General features: G+C 47.7%; 1 protein-coding gene and 1 pseudogene across 2 annotated transcripts in view, besides 2 other annotated features; both read right to left on the reverse strand.

Annotated features, from left to right (window-relative positions):
- Nucleotides 1-12,490, reverse strand: part of TAF4 (TATA-box binding protein associated factor 4) — a 91,084-nt gene that overhangs the window by 55,171 nt on the left and 23,423 nt on the right. The window lies entirely within an intron of this gene.
- Nucleotides 1,208-1,267: an enhancer, noted in NCBI's record as "active region_18195". NCBI's record gives its function as "activates an Ori minimal core promoter by ATAC-STARR-seq in GM12878 lymphoblastoid cells {active_cell/tissue: GM12878}" and the evidence as "EXISTENCE:reporter gene assay evidence [ECO:0000049][PMID:35858748]".
- Nucleotides 1,308-1,377: an enhancer, noted in NCBI's record as "active region_18196". NCBI's record gives its function as "activates an Ori minimal core promoter by ATAC-STARR-seq in GM12878 lymphoblastoid cells {active_cell/tissue: GM12878}" and the evidence as "EXISTENCE:reporter gene assay evidence [ECO:0000049][PMID:35858748]".
- RPL17P48 (ribosomal protein L17 pseudogene 48) lies at nt 7,424-8,008 on the reverse strand (annotated as a pseudogene).

Below are 12,490 nucleotides of genomic sequence, written 5' to 3' on the forward strand. Positions count from 1 at the left end.
CTGGGCCAGAAGGAAGAACAGTGCGCCGCAGGGGCATGGTCACGGTGAAGCTGCCCATGTGGGTGTCAGGAGCTGGCCAGGTGGAGGAAAGACGCACAATGCCAGCGCTGCGAGGCCAGGCGAGCAGCGCAGCGGGCCAGAGCCCCGATAGGGGTGTGCGGCCACGTGCACAAGGAGAGGAGGCAGCAGAGGCCTCTGCAGCACTCCAGGGAGCGGAATCACAGGCAGGGACGCCAACGAGCCCGCCAGGAAACTGGACACCTGCATCTCCACAGTGCCCGGTCAGTGCAGGCAACGAATCTGAGTTTCTGGTGTCCTGGATAGGACGACACAGCAGCATCACAAGCATCACAGACGTCACCACCCAGAGTCAGGACACCACAGCCTTTTCATGCCAAAGCCCAATACTAATTTAGATTCGCTTTCATGCGTAGACAGACACATAATTTAAAACAGCTCTGAAACATTAAAATGATTTTCCAGTCATTCAACAGTTAATAAAGTTTACCCTGCCCAGCAGTGCCCATTTCGGCTTTTTCTTAACTGTCACACCCCACTGCGGCCTGTCGTGCCTCGAAGCACATTTTCAATTAGCCCTGAAGCCAGAGGACGCACTCGCAGGATGGGCTGGACAGTGCTGGGAAGGGTCTTGCTTGCCCTACTCCACACACCTCAGTACAGCCTCCAATTTTCCAATTAACATGCTTAGAGTAATAATTTTTTGAAAACAAATTTCGTCCAAAAACTTTACTAAGTTGCCAATAATGTTGAATTGTCTTATCTACTTTTTAAACTGGCCCCACAAAATGTATCAGGTGACCACGAAAGCAACACCAAGGGCCACACAGCACAGATGTGGAACCTCATGGATAAACACGTGGCAGGGCCTGATTCAGGAGGCTCTCCGTACCCCACCACCTCCACAATACGATGGCCTCCTTCACCTCTTCTCAGTACTCAATTCACTTGCCCAACTGCACCTGAGCTTCCTGAAATGCCTGAGTCTATTTGACAGACACAACATGCAACAAACAGGAAATGACTTGCACTTGGTCTCAGGCAGGTTTTTCTCCACGGCTTTAGGTGAAAGGCTTCTGTTGAAAACACTGAGCACCTGGTATCACTTCTGCCTTCGTGAAGCCTTCCCTTATATTCTCAGCCATTCCTGGTTTCTAATTTTCTCAGGTTTCTAAAATCTCTGAAACCCACAAGCCTCATGTGACTTCACTGACTCCCTCTTTCAGGGAGCCTGGGTCCAAGGTCGGAACGTGGCCAGGCTGCTCCAGGCTGGGCGTCCAAGCCCTCGTCCTCCAGGCACCGCACACCTTGAGGCCCAGCATGTGCAGAATCAGGCTGTGCTCGCTTCCGCCGACAGCAGTGAGCATGCTGGCTGGGCCCAGGGTGCCTTCTCGACACTTTGCTAAACCTCAGGATAAAGCATATTCATCTGCACATATTTAACTCCCAAGACTCTAAAAATCCTGCACTAACAGAGAGCCTTCACTTCTGCACAATTTTAACATGTGCTCTTTCATCTGCAGATTCTGAATTCATTCAAATGACACTTTGGGCATTCCCTTTGCCTTGACTGAGAGCTCAGTTCCAACTCTGTGCCCACCTCCCAGCCTCCCCCTACCCTACTCCACTAGCAGCTGAACAGAGCCCAAGGTGGGCGTTTTTCACTCTATTCTCCCTCTCCCCTCACTTTCTCATTAATCATATCTTCTTGGGTTATGAGTACTTTTCTTAGTCACCGTAAGTTCTTACTAGAGTAAGCACATGTGTCAACAAATAAAATAATCAACAAGCAAAGGCTCCCACCAAAACCCCAGGGAGACGCCGGGGTGCAGGGCATGCAGCCCCTGGCACCCGGAGACGGGGCTCGCAGGGAAGGCCCCGTGGAACAGCCCGGGAAGAGGGCAGCTGGCCCAGCAACACCGAGACACGGAACGCACAGGACACTTCCAAACAAAAGTTCCAGATTCTTCTCACCATCAGCAAGCAAGAAGGAAACAACCCTCCTTTCCTCAGAGCTCCCCCGCAGCACTGTCCTTCTGCGAGCCTGCACCTCCCATCTCGCACTCTTCCTGAAGCCAGCAGTATCTCAGCACCTCTGGAGTCTCCATGTTAAGACTTCACATATTTGGATACGTTTGATCTGCTAACTTAAAAACAGTTAGTGAAGTCACCATTTGGATGGTGCTTCCAGGCCAGCGGTGGGGGCAGTCAACTCTGCAAGCAGTCGGCTCTGCTTTTCTGAGAGGACAAGGACCATGCTCAGATTCCCTCCACCCCCGAACTCCTGCTCCCTGAGCTACCATCTCAGCAGTTTCTGTGTCCCCTGATGGGCCAGGACACAGGACTTCTCTAACCTAAAGTCTACACGTTTGTCCAGATGGCAACAAGCATCGCTTCTCTTCCACATGTTCACTGTGTTTTAAGGCAGCTTTATCCACAGAGGCTGGGGAAGGGAGACCAATCTGAGAGTGCCAGTGGCAAGAAGAGGAGCTCGGGGCCACAGGCAGCGCCTGCTGTCTGCAGAGGATGGGCTTCCAGAAGGCCCGGTGGCCCACCAGGGCCTCGGCTCTCAGCACCTGAAACCACATCCCCAGCACTCAACTCCCAATGTTCTGCTTACTTTCAAAATGTTTTAAATAGTGCCAATCCCATGCACAATTTCAAGAAAACTGAGGTCAGCTGGCAGATGACATGGACCTTAAATGACTTACAGCAAAACGTCAGTTCTCCAGAACCCAACTTTCAGACAACCTCACTTATCAGAACACATTGGCAGGGAGACAGCAAAGCAGGGGCTCTGAGCAGCCGGTGGCCAACCAGCACACACTGGGCACTGGCCCCAAATCAGAAACACATGTGGATGGTACACACCCTCCTAGAGCTTCCGATCAATCCGATTCATCAGTCTATGCTAGGAAGGGAAGCTGCCCAGCCCTCTAAGAACCTGCCACCAGCAGATCTTCTTGGCCTCATCTGAGCACCGAGACTGGCTTCTCGAAGGAAGCAGCTGGGAAATGATGGATGCGGGGGGAAAAAAAGAGGGGAGGCAGCTGTCTGGACGTGGTGAGAGGCAGGAGGGCAAAGAAAGCAGCAAGGATACGGTGAGGGAGTGACCTAGGAAGAGCAGGGCAGAGGGCCACCCACAGGAGAAGAGTGAGGCCACAGATGAGATCCCTCAGCTCTCAGCAGGGCGGGGTCAGGCAGGGTGGCCTCAGCCCCCAGCGGATGGCTCTGGTGCTCTCCATGAAGCAACAAGGGGAGCCACCTGCCAAGATGCGTGTGTGGCAGGAATCAGAGACCAAGGCAGAAGAGGGAGGTGGCAGGACAAAGGAGCTAACAAGGGCCCTGGTGGGTTTTAAATAATAGGAAGGCATTTGATACGATCCAACATCCATTGAGACAAACTAACAAATATCCCCTGCCCCAAGAAAAGCAAACAGAAAGCAACTTCAGAAAATAAGAAGTGGGAGCTGGGCAGGGTAGCTCACGCCAGTAATCCCAGCACTTTGGGAGACCAAGTCAGGCAGGTCACTTGAGGTAAGGGGTTCAAGATCAGCCTGGCTAACATGGCGAAACCCCGTCTCTACTAAAAATACAAAAATTAGCCAGGCATAGTGGCGCATGCCTATAATCCCAGCTACTCGGGAGGCTGAAGCACAAGAATTGCTTGAACCCGGGAGGCAGAGGTTGCAGTGAGATGAGATTGTGCTATTGCACTCCAGCCTGGGCAACAAGAGTGAGACTCCGTCTCAAAAAAAAAAAAAAAAGAAAAAGGGCCAGGTGAGGTGGCTCACGCCTGTCATCTCAGCACTTTGGAAGGCTAAGGCGGGTGGATCACGAGGTCAGGAGATCGAGACCATCCTGGCTAACACGGTGAAACCCCTTCTCTACTAAAAATACAAAAAATTAGCTGGGCATGGTGGCAGGCGCCTGTAGTCCCTACTACTTGGGAGGCTGAGGCAGGAGAATGGCGTGAACCCGTGAGGCAGAGCTTGCAGTGAGCCAAGACCGCGCCACTGCACTCCAGCCTGGGCGACAGAGCAAGACTCTGTCTCCAAAAAAAAAAAAAAGAAAATGAGTGGGAAAGAACTTCCTTAACTTCCCCTCAACACTACACCTGAGACCCCAACAAGCCCAATACCAGAAGACAACAAGGGAATGAAGCACAGGACGTCAGTGAAATACAATTGTCATTAATTGCATGTAATAAATTCTCTAGGTGCGACCCTCAAAAAATTGCAAATTTTTAATGGAAGAGTTGAAGAGTGCTAGAGTAAGATCAATATCCAAAATTCAACTGCGATTCAACACACTATCAAAGAAGAATTAGAAAACGCAATTTTTTGTTTATTTTTAGACAAGGGTCTCATTCTGTCACCCAGGCTAGTGTGCAGTGGCACAATCATAGCTCACTGTAGCCTCAAACTCCTGGGCTCAAGCGATCCTCCCACCCCAACCTCCTGAGTAGCTGGGACTACAGGCATGCACCACCACACCTGGCTAAATTTTTTTTTAATTTTTTGTAGAGACAGGGGTTCTCACTATGTTGCTCAGGCTGGTCTCAAGCTCCTGACCTCCAGCAATCCTCCCATCTCAGCCTCCCAAAGTGCTGAGATGACAGGCATGAGCCATCATTCCCAGCCAGAAAATGTGTTTAAAAAAAATACTTAAAATAGCAGCAATGAACTCAGAATGTCCTGGAATGCCCTACACATATCTAACAAAATATGTGTAAGACCTATATGAAAAAGACACATAAAACTTGATTGAAAAATATTACAAAATATGTAAATAGAGTAATATACCATATTCATGGATATAGTCACTATCTCATAGATTTCTTTTTTTTTTTGAGATGGAGTCTCGCTCTGTCACCCAGGCTGGAGTACAGTGGCGCAATCTCGGCTCACTGCAAGCTCCGCCTCCCGGGTTCACGCCATTCTCCTGCCTCAGCCTCCCGAGTAGCTGGGACTACAGGCACCCACCACCATGCCCAGCTAATTTTTTGTATTTTTAGTAGAGACGGGGTTTCACCATGTTAGCCAGGATGGTCTCGATCCCCTGACCTCATGATCCGCCTGCCTGGGCCTCCCAAAGTGCTAGGATTACAGGCGTGAGCCACCGCACCCGGCCCATAGATTTCAGTTCTCCCAAAATTGACCCACAGATTGATACAACTTCAATTAAAATAACCTACAAGGACTTTTATGGGCCCCGAAGAGTTGATTCTAAAATTTATAAGGAAGATCAAAGTGCCAAGAGTTGCACAGACAATTCTCAAAAGCAACAGAATGGAGTATTACCTCTAGTAGATATCAAGAATTAGTATGGAGCTAAATTATTTAAGGACAGGATGCTACTGATGAAAGGACAGACAGATAAACCAAGAGAAAACAACCGACAGGCTAGAAACGGATGCCACATAATATAAAACCTGAAATGTTACAGACGGGCCATGGAGACCACAGAGGTGAGGAAGGACCATTCAAATAAATAACACCAGGACAACTGTCAATCCAAATAGGAGGCAAATGAAAATGGAGCTCTAACTCACACCACACACAAACCCCATGCCAGGAGGATTACATACTTAAAAGCAAAAGCAAAAGCTATCATTTTAGAAGAAAATACAGAAGACTATTCCTATTACCTTCGGGTTAGAAAGGACTTCTTAAAGATGACTTGAAAAAGCTTACCAAAAAGGAGACAATAGATACATTCAACTACAGTAAAATCAAGGAGTCCTATTCGTCAGAAGACACCATAAAGAAAGTGAAAAGATCAGATATAAACTGGAAGAAGATACTGGCCATATACAGATGACCTACAAAGGAACAGTAACCAGAATATGCACAGAACTCCTATAATTAATACGAAATAATTTAAAGAAAACGGGGCAAAAAGACACAAACAGACATTTCACAGAAGGTTACCCACAAACAATAAACATAGAAAATTAATTTCCTCTATATTAAAGGAAAAGAAGTTAAATGAAATTAATTTTCATTAAGGAATTAAAGGAAATTAATCAAATTTCTTTTTTTTTTTAAAAAAAAAAAAGAGTTTTGCTCTTGTTGCCCTGCCTCGAGTGCAGTGGCGCAATCTCAGCTCACTGCAACCTCCCGCTCACGGGTTCAAGCGATTCTCCTGCCTCAGCCTCCTGAGTAGCTGGGATTACAGGTACCCGCCATCACAACCGGCTAATTTTTTGTATTTTTAGTAGAGATGGAGTTTCACCATGTTGGCCAGGCTGGTCTCGAACTCCTGACCTCAGGTGATCCACCCGCCTCGGCCTCCCGAAGTGCTGGGATGACAGGCGTGAGCCACCGCGCCTGGCTCATTAATTAATTTTTAAGTGAAAATTAAGACAACACTATCAGAGCATTTTACACCCCCAGATTCGAGGAATTGAAAAGTCTGACAACACCCAGTGCTATCAAGGATATAAAATAACAGAAACTGCTGGGAGGCAAGTGAACTGTTGCAACTAACATTACTCATGCAGTACTGCAAGACAAACTGCAAGGAAATGACAGGCCAGTATCCCTCCTGAACCTACACACCAAACTGTAGCAAACTGCATGCAACTGTATATAAAAAGGATAATACATGTGACCAACAGGGGTTATGCTAGGAACTCGCCAGGGTTTAACACTCAAAATTAAATCAGTGTAATTCACCATGTTAACAGACTAAAAAAGAAAAACCATACAAGCATCCCAATACAGGAAGAAAAGCATTTTAACAAAAATAAACATCCACTCACGACAAAAATTCTCACCAAACTAGGAAAAGAAGGTGCATAGACTGAATGCCATCACAATTCATATGCTGAAACCCAATCCCCAAGGTGATGGTAGCAGAAGCGGGGGGACTTTGGGGGCCCAGCCCTCATTAACCGGATTAGCGCCCTTATGAAAGAGCCTGTCCCACAGCTGCCTTGCCCCTTCCTTCCACACTCTGAGGACACACAAGAAGCTGCATGGGAGCAGGCAGCAGGCCCTCACCAGCATGGCAATCTTGCACTTCCCAGGACTGTGAGAAATGAATTTCCGGTGTCTAGAAGCCTCCCAGTCTATGGTATTTTGTTACAGCAGCCAGAATGGCCTATGACAGAAGGGGATTCCTCAACCTAACACAGGGCCTCTATGAAAAACCTGCAGCTGACATCATGTGCGTCATGAGAGAAGACAGACTGCCTCCCCCAAGATCAGAAACAAGGCAAAATGTCCCTTCTCAACGCTTCTGTTTGTCATATTACACTGGAGGTTGTGGCCAGTGCAATGAGACAAGAACAAGAAATAAAAGGTGCACAGACCAGAAAAAAAGACATGAACCACTCTTTACTGCAGATCACGCCTATCTTTGAAGAAAATCCTAAGAAATCCACAGGATATAAAGTCAATTTTTTTTATTTTAATTGCATTTATTGTATGCTGAGTTTATTCCCATGCCACAAGTTTTTGTTTCTTCAGTTTCTTCTGGTACAGTTTTCCTCTGTGCAACTTCCTCACCTGGCTTGGGAACAAGTGTCTTTACCGTGAGGATCGTCTCAATGTGACGGGGCGCCCTGTATGGATGAACCCGACCACCAGCCCTGGAAGTCCCACAGCGCATCCTGGGTGCTCAAACACCAGAGAGCCTACATCTACACCCTCACATTCAGTGTGACTCTCCACATTTTTAATTGTGTGCAGCAAAAATTCAGCGCTCTTTTCGGGTCACCAACCCTGTGTCCAGCCCCACTGTTTGGCCTAGGTACACCTGCCAGCTCCACCCCTGCCAAGTCGGAATGGCATACACTGTTTCTATAAAGGGACGTCTTTCAGACACTTGGTGACTTCTCACGTATGCATACCCTTGATGGCCTGGGCAGTTTCACGAGCGTTCTTAAAGTGATCAAGAAGACCTGAACCTCTGGATTTGCACGATTTTGTGGGGATTTCTGGGTCAAGTGACTAATGAACCATTTTCACAGATCATCTCAGGCCGCTTGGGGAAGAGCTATAAAGTCACTATTTTTAAAAGCAATTTTTTTGTTGTTTTTTTTTTGGTTTTTTGAGACGGAGTCTCACTCTGTCGCCCAGGCTGGAGTGCAGTGGCGCGATCTCGGCTCACAGCAAGCTCCGCCTCCCAGGTTCATGCCATTCTCCTGCCTCAGCCTCCAGGTGGCTGGGACTACAGGAGCCCACCACTACGCCCGGCTAATTTTTTGTATTTTTACTAGAGACAGGGTTTCACAGTGTTAGCCAGGATGGTGTCGATCTCCTGACCTCGTGATCCACCAGCTTCGGCCTCCCAAAGTGCTGGGACTACAGGCGTGTGCCACCATGCCCAGCTAATTTTTTGTATTTTTAGTAGAGACAGGGTTTCACAGTGTTAGCCAGGATGGTCTCAATCTCCTGACCTCATGATCCGCCCGCCTCAGCCTCCCAAAGTGCTAGGATTACAGGTATGAGCCACTGAGCCACCGAGCCACTGACCCACCGCGCCCGGCCAAAAGCAATTGTTTTTCTAAATACTGGCAACAATTGGAAACAAAATTTTTTAAAGGACCACGTACATGGCATAAAATATGAATACTTAAGAATAAATTTAACAAAGTATGTTCAGGATACAAACACTGAGAACTTGAAACAACCCTGAGAAAAATCCTGAAAGGCCTAAATCAATGAAGAGGTACAACACGTTCGTGAATCAGAACACTCGATATTGCTAAGATATCAATGATCATAAAACCGATCTATAGACTCAATACAATCCCAAGCAAGATATCAAGGTATTGGCCAGGCCCAGTGGCTCACACCTGTAATCCCAGCACTTTGAGAGGCTGAGGCAGGCGGATCACCTGAGGTCAGGAATTCAAGACCAGCCTGGCCAACACGGCAAAACCCTATCTCTACTAAAAATACAAAAATTAGCCGGGTGTGGTGGCACGTGCCTGTAATCCCAGCTACTCGGGAGGCTGAGGCAGGAGACTCACTTGAACCCGGGAGTCGGAGCTTGCAGTGAGCCAAGATCGTGCCACTGCACTCCAGGAAAAGATGTGAAAGAGTGAAAAATTCCGTCTCAAAACAAACAAAAAGCTATCAAGGTATCAAGAGGCTTTTTTTGTAGAAGTTGACGAACTGATTCTGAAACACATGAATGCAAACGACCAGAACAGCCCTCAACGTTTTCGAAAAAGCAGCACTGGAGGACTCCTGCCACCCATCAACACTCCCTCTAAATGGGCTGGAAAGTGCTGAGCTGCAGAAGGGAAGACAAGGACATGAGTGGACAGAACACATCCCAGAAGTGACGTCCTCACACGTGGCCGACTGAGTTTCAATAAAGGCAGCAGCATCGTTCAATAGAGAAAGGAAGGTCTCCTCAACACATAAGGCTGGCATGATTGGTAACCACAGAAAAAATGAGTCTCAACCCCCTACCTTACAACTCTCCCAAAATTAACTTGAATTGGGTTGAGTAAGAGCTAAAGCCATAAGCATTCTAGAAAACTCCTGTACCTTGGGTTAGGCAAAAATTTATTTAAGAAGGCACAAGATGAATTCTTAAAATGACTCACTGGATTTATTTAAGAAGGCACAGGACGAATTCTTAAAATGATACACTGGATTTATTTAAGAAGGCACAAAATGAATTCTTAAAATGATACATTGGGCTTCCTTAAAATTGAAAACTTGCACTTTAAAACGCATGCAGCTAAAAGAAAAGGCAAACACAGACCAAGAAAATAGTTACAGAACAATTCTATCTGATAAATTACTTACATCTAGAAAATACATTTTAAACTCTTACTAAATCAATAATGACAAAACTAACAACCCAATTTAAAACACACAGACAAAAGATTTGAAAAGACACCTCCCGAAAGAAGATAGGCAAATGAGCAAATAAGCTGGTGGAAAGACGCTCAGCATTAGTCACTAGGGAAATGCAAATCAAAGCCACAACATAATGGCACGGCACCCATCGAAAAGGCTAAAATTCAAGACTGACCATACCAGCTTTCCGCAAGGATGTCAACCTTTATGCGCTGCTGGTGAGACACAATGCAAAACAGGACAGCCACTTTGGAGTTCCTTCAGAAATTAATATTCATTTGCCATATTCAGCAATCCCACCCCTAGTTATCTACCCAAGACAAAGAAAAACTTATGTTCATATAAAGATTTATAGGAAACATTCATAGAAGCATTGCTCATAATAATCAAAAGCTAGAAACAACCCAAATACCCATCAACTGGTAACCAGATCACCTGCGGTCCAGCCGCACACCAGGATGCTGCTCAGCAACGCAAAGGAACCAGCTACTGGCACGCACACGACACACCACTTGGGCACCACGCAGAAGTATCCCGCCAAGGGAAAGGGCCAGATGTGAGGCTCCCACTACATAATCTCATTTATACAAAATTCTAGAAGAGGCAAAATCACAGTGACAGCAGCAGCTCAGTGGCTGCCGGGGAGGAAGCTGGAGCAGGGGCTCACCCCCAGGGGCACGAGGCTACAGAATGATTCCGATCCTGTACTCGACGGTGGTGGTGACGTGACTATCGTTAAAACTCACAGACCTACAGGCTGAGAAAGGTGCGCTCTGCCACGCGCCAACTACGCCTCCATAAACGGAGATTTAAAAAGTAGTATGTGCTAACACTGCATGCCCACTAGAATAGGCAAAACAGAAAAGCCTGGCCACGCCAAGAGCCAGCAAGATCTCACGGCAGCAGCACTGAGCCCGCGGATGAAACTAAATTCGCAGAGCCGCTCAGGAACACAGCCTGGCAGTTTCTGACAAGACCAAACTCACACCTTCCGTACGACTCAGCGATTCCACTCCTAACATTTACCCAAAAGAAAAGGACGTCTACACGTATGTTCGCACAAAGGCTTGAACACAAATGTTCAAAAAGAAGCTTTATTCGTAATAGCCAAAAACTGGAAACATGCCAGACTCCTCAGCTGGCAAATGTATAGCGTACATCCAAACAGAAACCATTCCCCATAAAAATAACAAACTGTGGACACGTGTTGCACACGATGCCCCTCCAAGTACTCTGAGTAGGAAGCCGGACACCAGGGAGCACACAACTGGGGTTTCAGCGACCTGAGCGCTCCAAAGGACAGATCCACACCGACGGCGAGAGGCGGCCCAGAGAACACCTTCCCGTCCAGGGCTGTGGGCCGACAGCAGAGGGCACAAGCAGACCCTCTGGGGGGCTGAACGAAATGGGGGTAGACATCCTCAATCTGTGCACTTACAAGGGGGACATTTTATTGTATATAAATTATGTCCCCTCCAAGAATTTTTATGCATGTTAACCTCTATTTAAAGGAGAGCCCCTACCCTCAAACTGTCAGCCTCCACGTACAGCCACGCCTCACATCATGATGCTCCTGGCAATAACAGACGGCATACATGACGCTGGTCCCATCAAGACCATCCTGGCTAACAGGGTGAAACCCCATCTCTACTAAAAATACAAAAAATCAGCCAGGCGTGGTAGCATACGCCTGCAGTCCCAGCTACTTGGGAGGCTGAGACAGGAGAATTGCTTGAACCCGGGAGGCAGAGGTTGCAGTGAGCCGAAATTGCGCCACTGCACTCCAGCCTGGGCAACAGAGCGAGAATCCATCTCAAAAAAAAAAGAAAAAAGAAAAGTATGGCACACTGACCAGGTGCAGTAGCTCACCACTTTGAGCGGGTGAGATGGGAAGACTGCCTCAGGCCAGGAGTTTAAGACCAGCCTGGGCAACAAAGCAAGAGCCCTTCTCTCTAAAAAAAAAAAAAATTGAAACATCAGCCAGGCACAGTGGCTGTAGTTGCAGCTACTTAGGGGAGGCCAAGGCAGGAGGATCACATGAGCCCAGGAGTTCAAGGCACCACTGCACTCCAGCCTGAGTGACAGAGTGAGGCCCTATCTCCTAAAAAAAAAAAACCCTCCCACATACAATTCTGTAGCATACAGAATACTGGCTAATGATACAGACAGGAGGCAAGGAAATACTGGGTAGAAGAGGGCAATTTCCCAGCAAAGGCCCCACCCTCAAGCCTGGACACCTGCAGCCCTAAATGGGAACAGGCATTCCTGTTTCCGCGCCCAAATGTTGCCTTTTCCAAGACTAATCTGGCCTGCCACGCCCCTATCTGGTGCCCATATAAACCCCAAGCTCCACTGACGAGAGCAAAGTGGCGCAGCAGAGAAGGAGAAAAGAGAAGGAGCGTCTGAATGTCGAGAGGGGTTTGGCTGGGCACCGTCCAGGAGGAGATCGGCTGCGGGACGGCTGAACTCCAGAGGAAGATCATCTTCTCACTCCATCCCCTTGCCAGCTCATCCATCTCACTGAAGGCCACCTCCATCACTCAATAAAATCCCCACAAATGCCATCCTTCAAGTCCGTGTGACCTGATTCTTCCTGGACACCGCACAAGGACTCGGGTACCGAGAGGGCAGGGGGAAAAAGGCTG

Source organism: Homo sapiens, chromosome 20, assembly GCF_000001405.40.
Source record: "Homo sapiens chromosome 20, GRCh38.p14 Primary Assembly".
Taxonomy (NCBI): domain Eukaryota; kingdom Metazoa; phylum Chordata; class Mammalia; order Primates; family Hominidae; genus Homo; species Homo sapiens.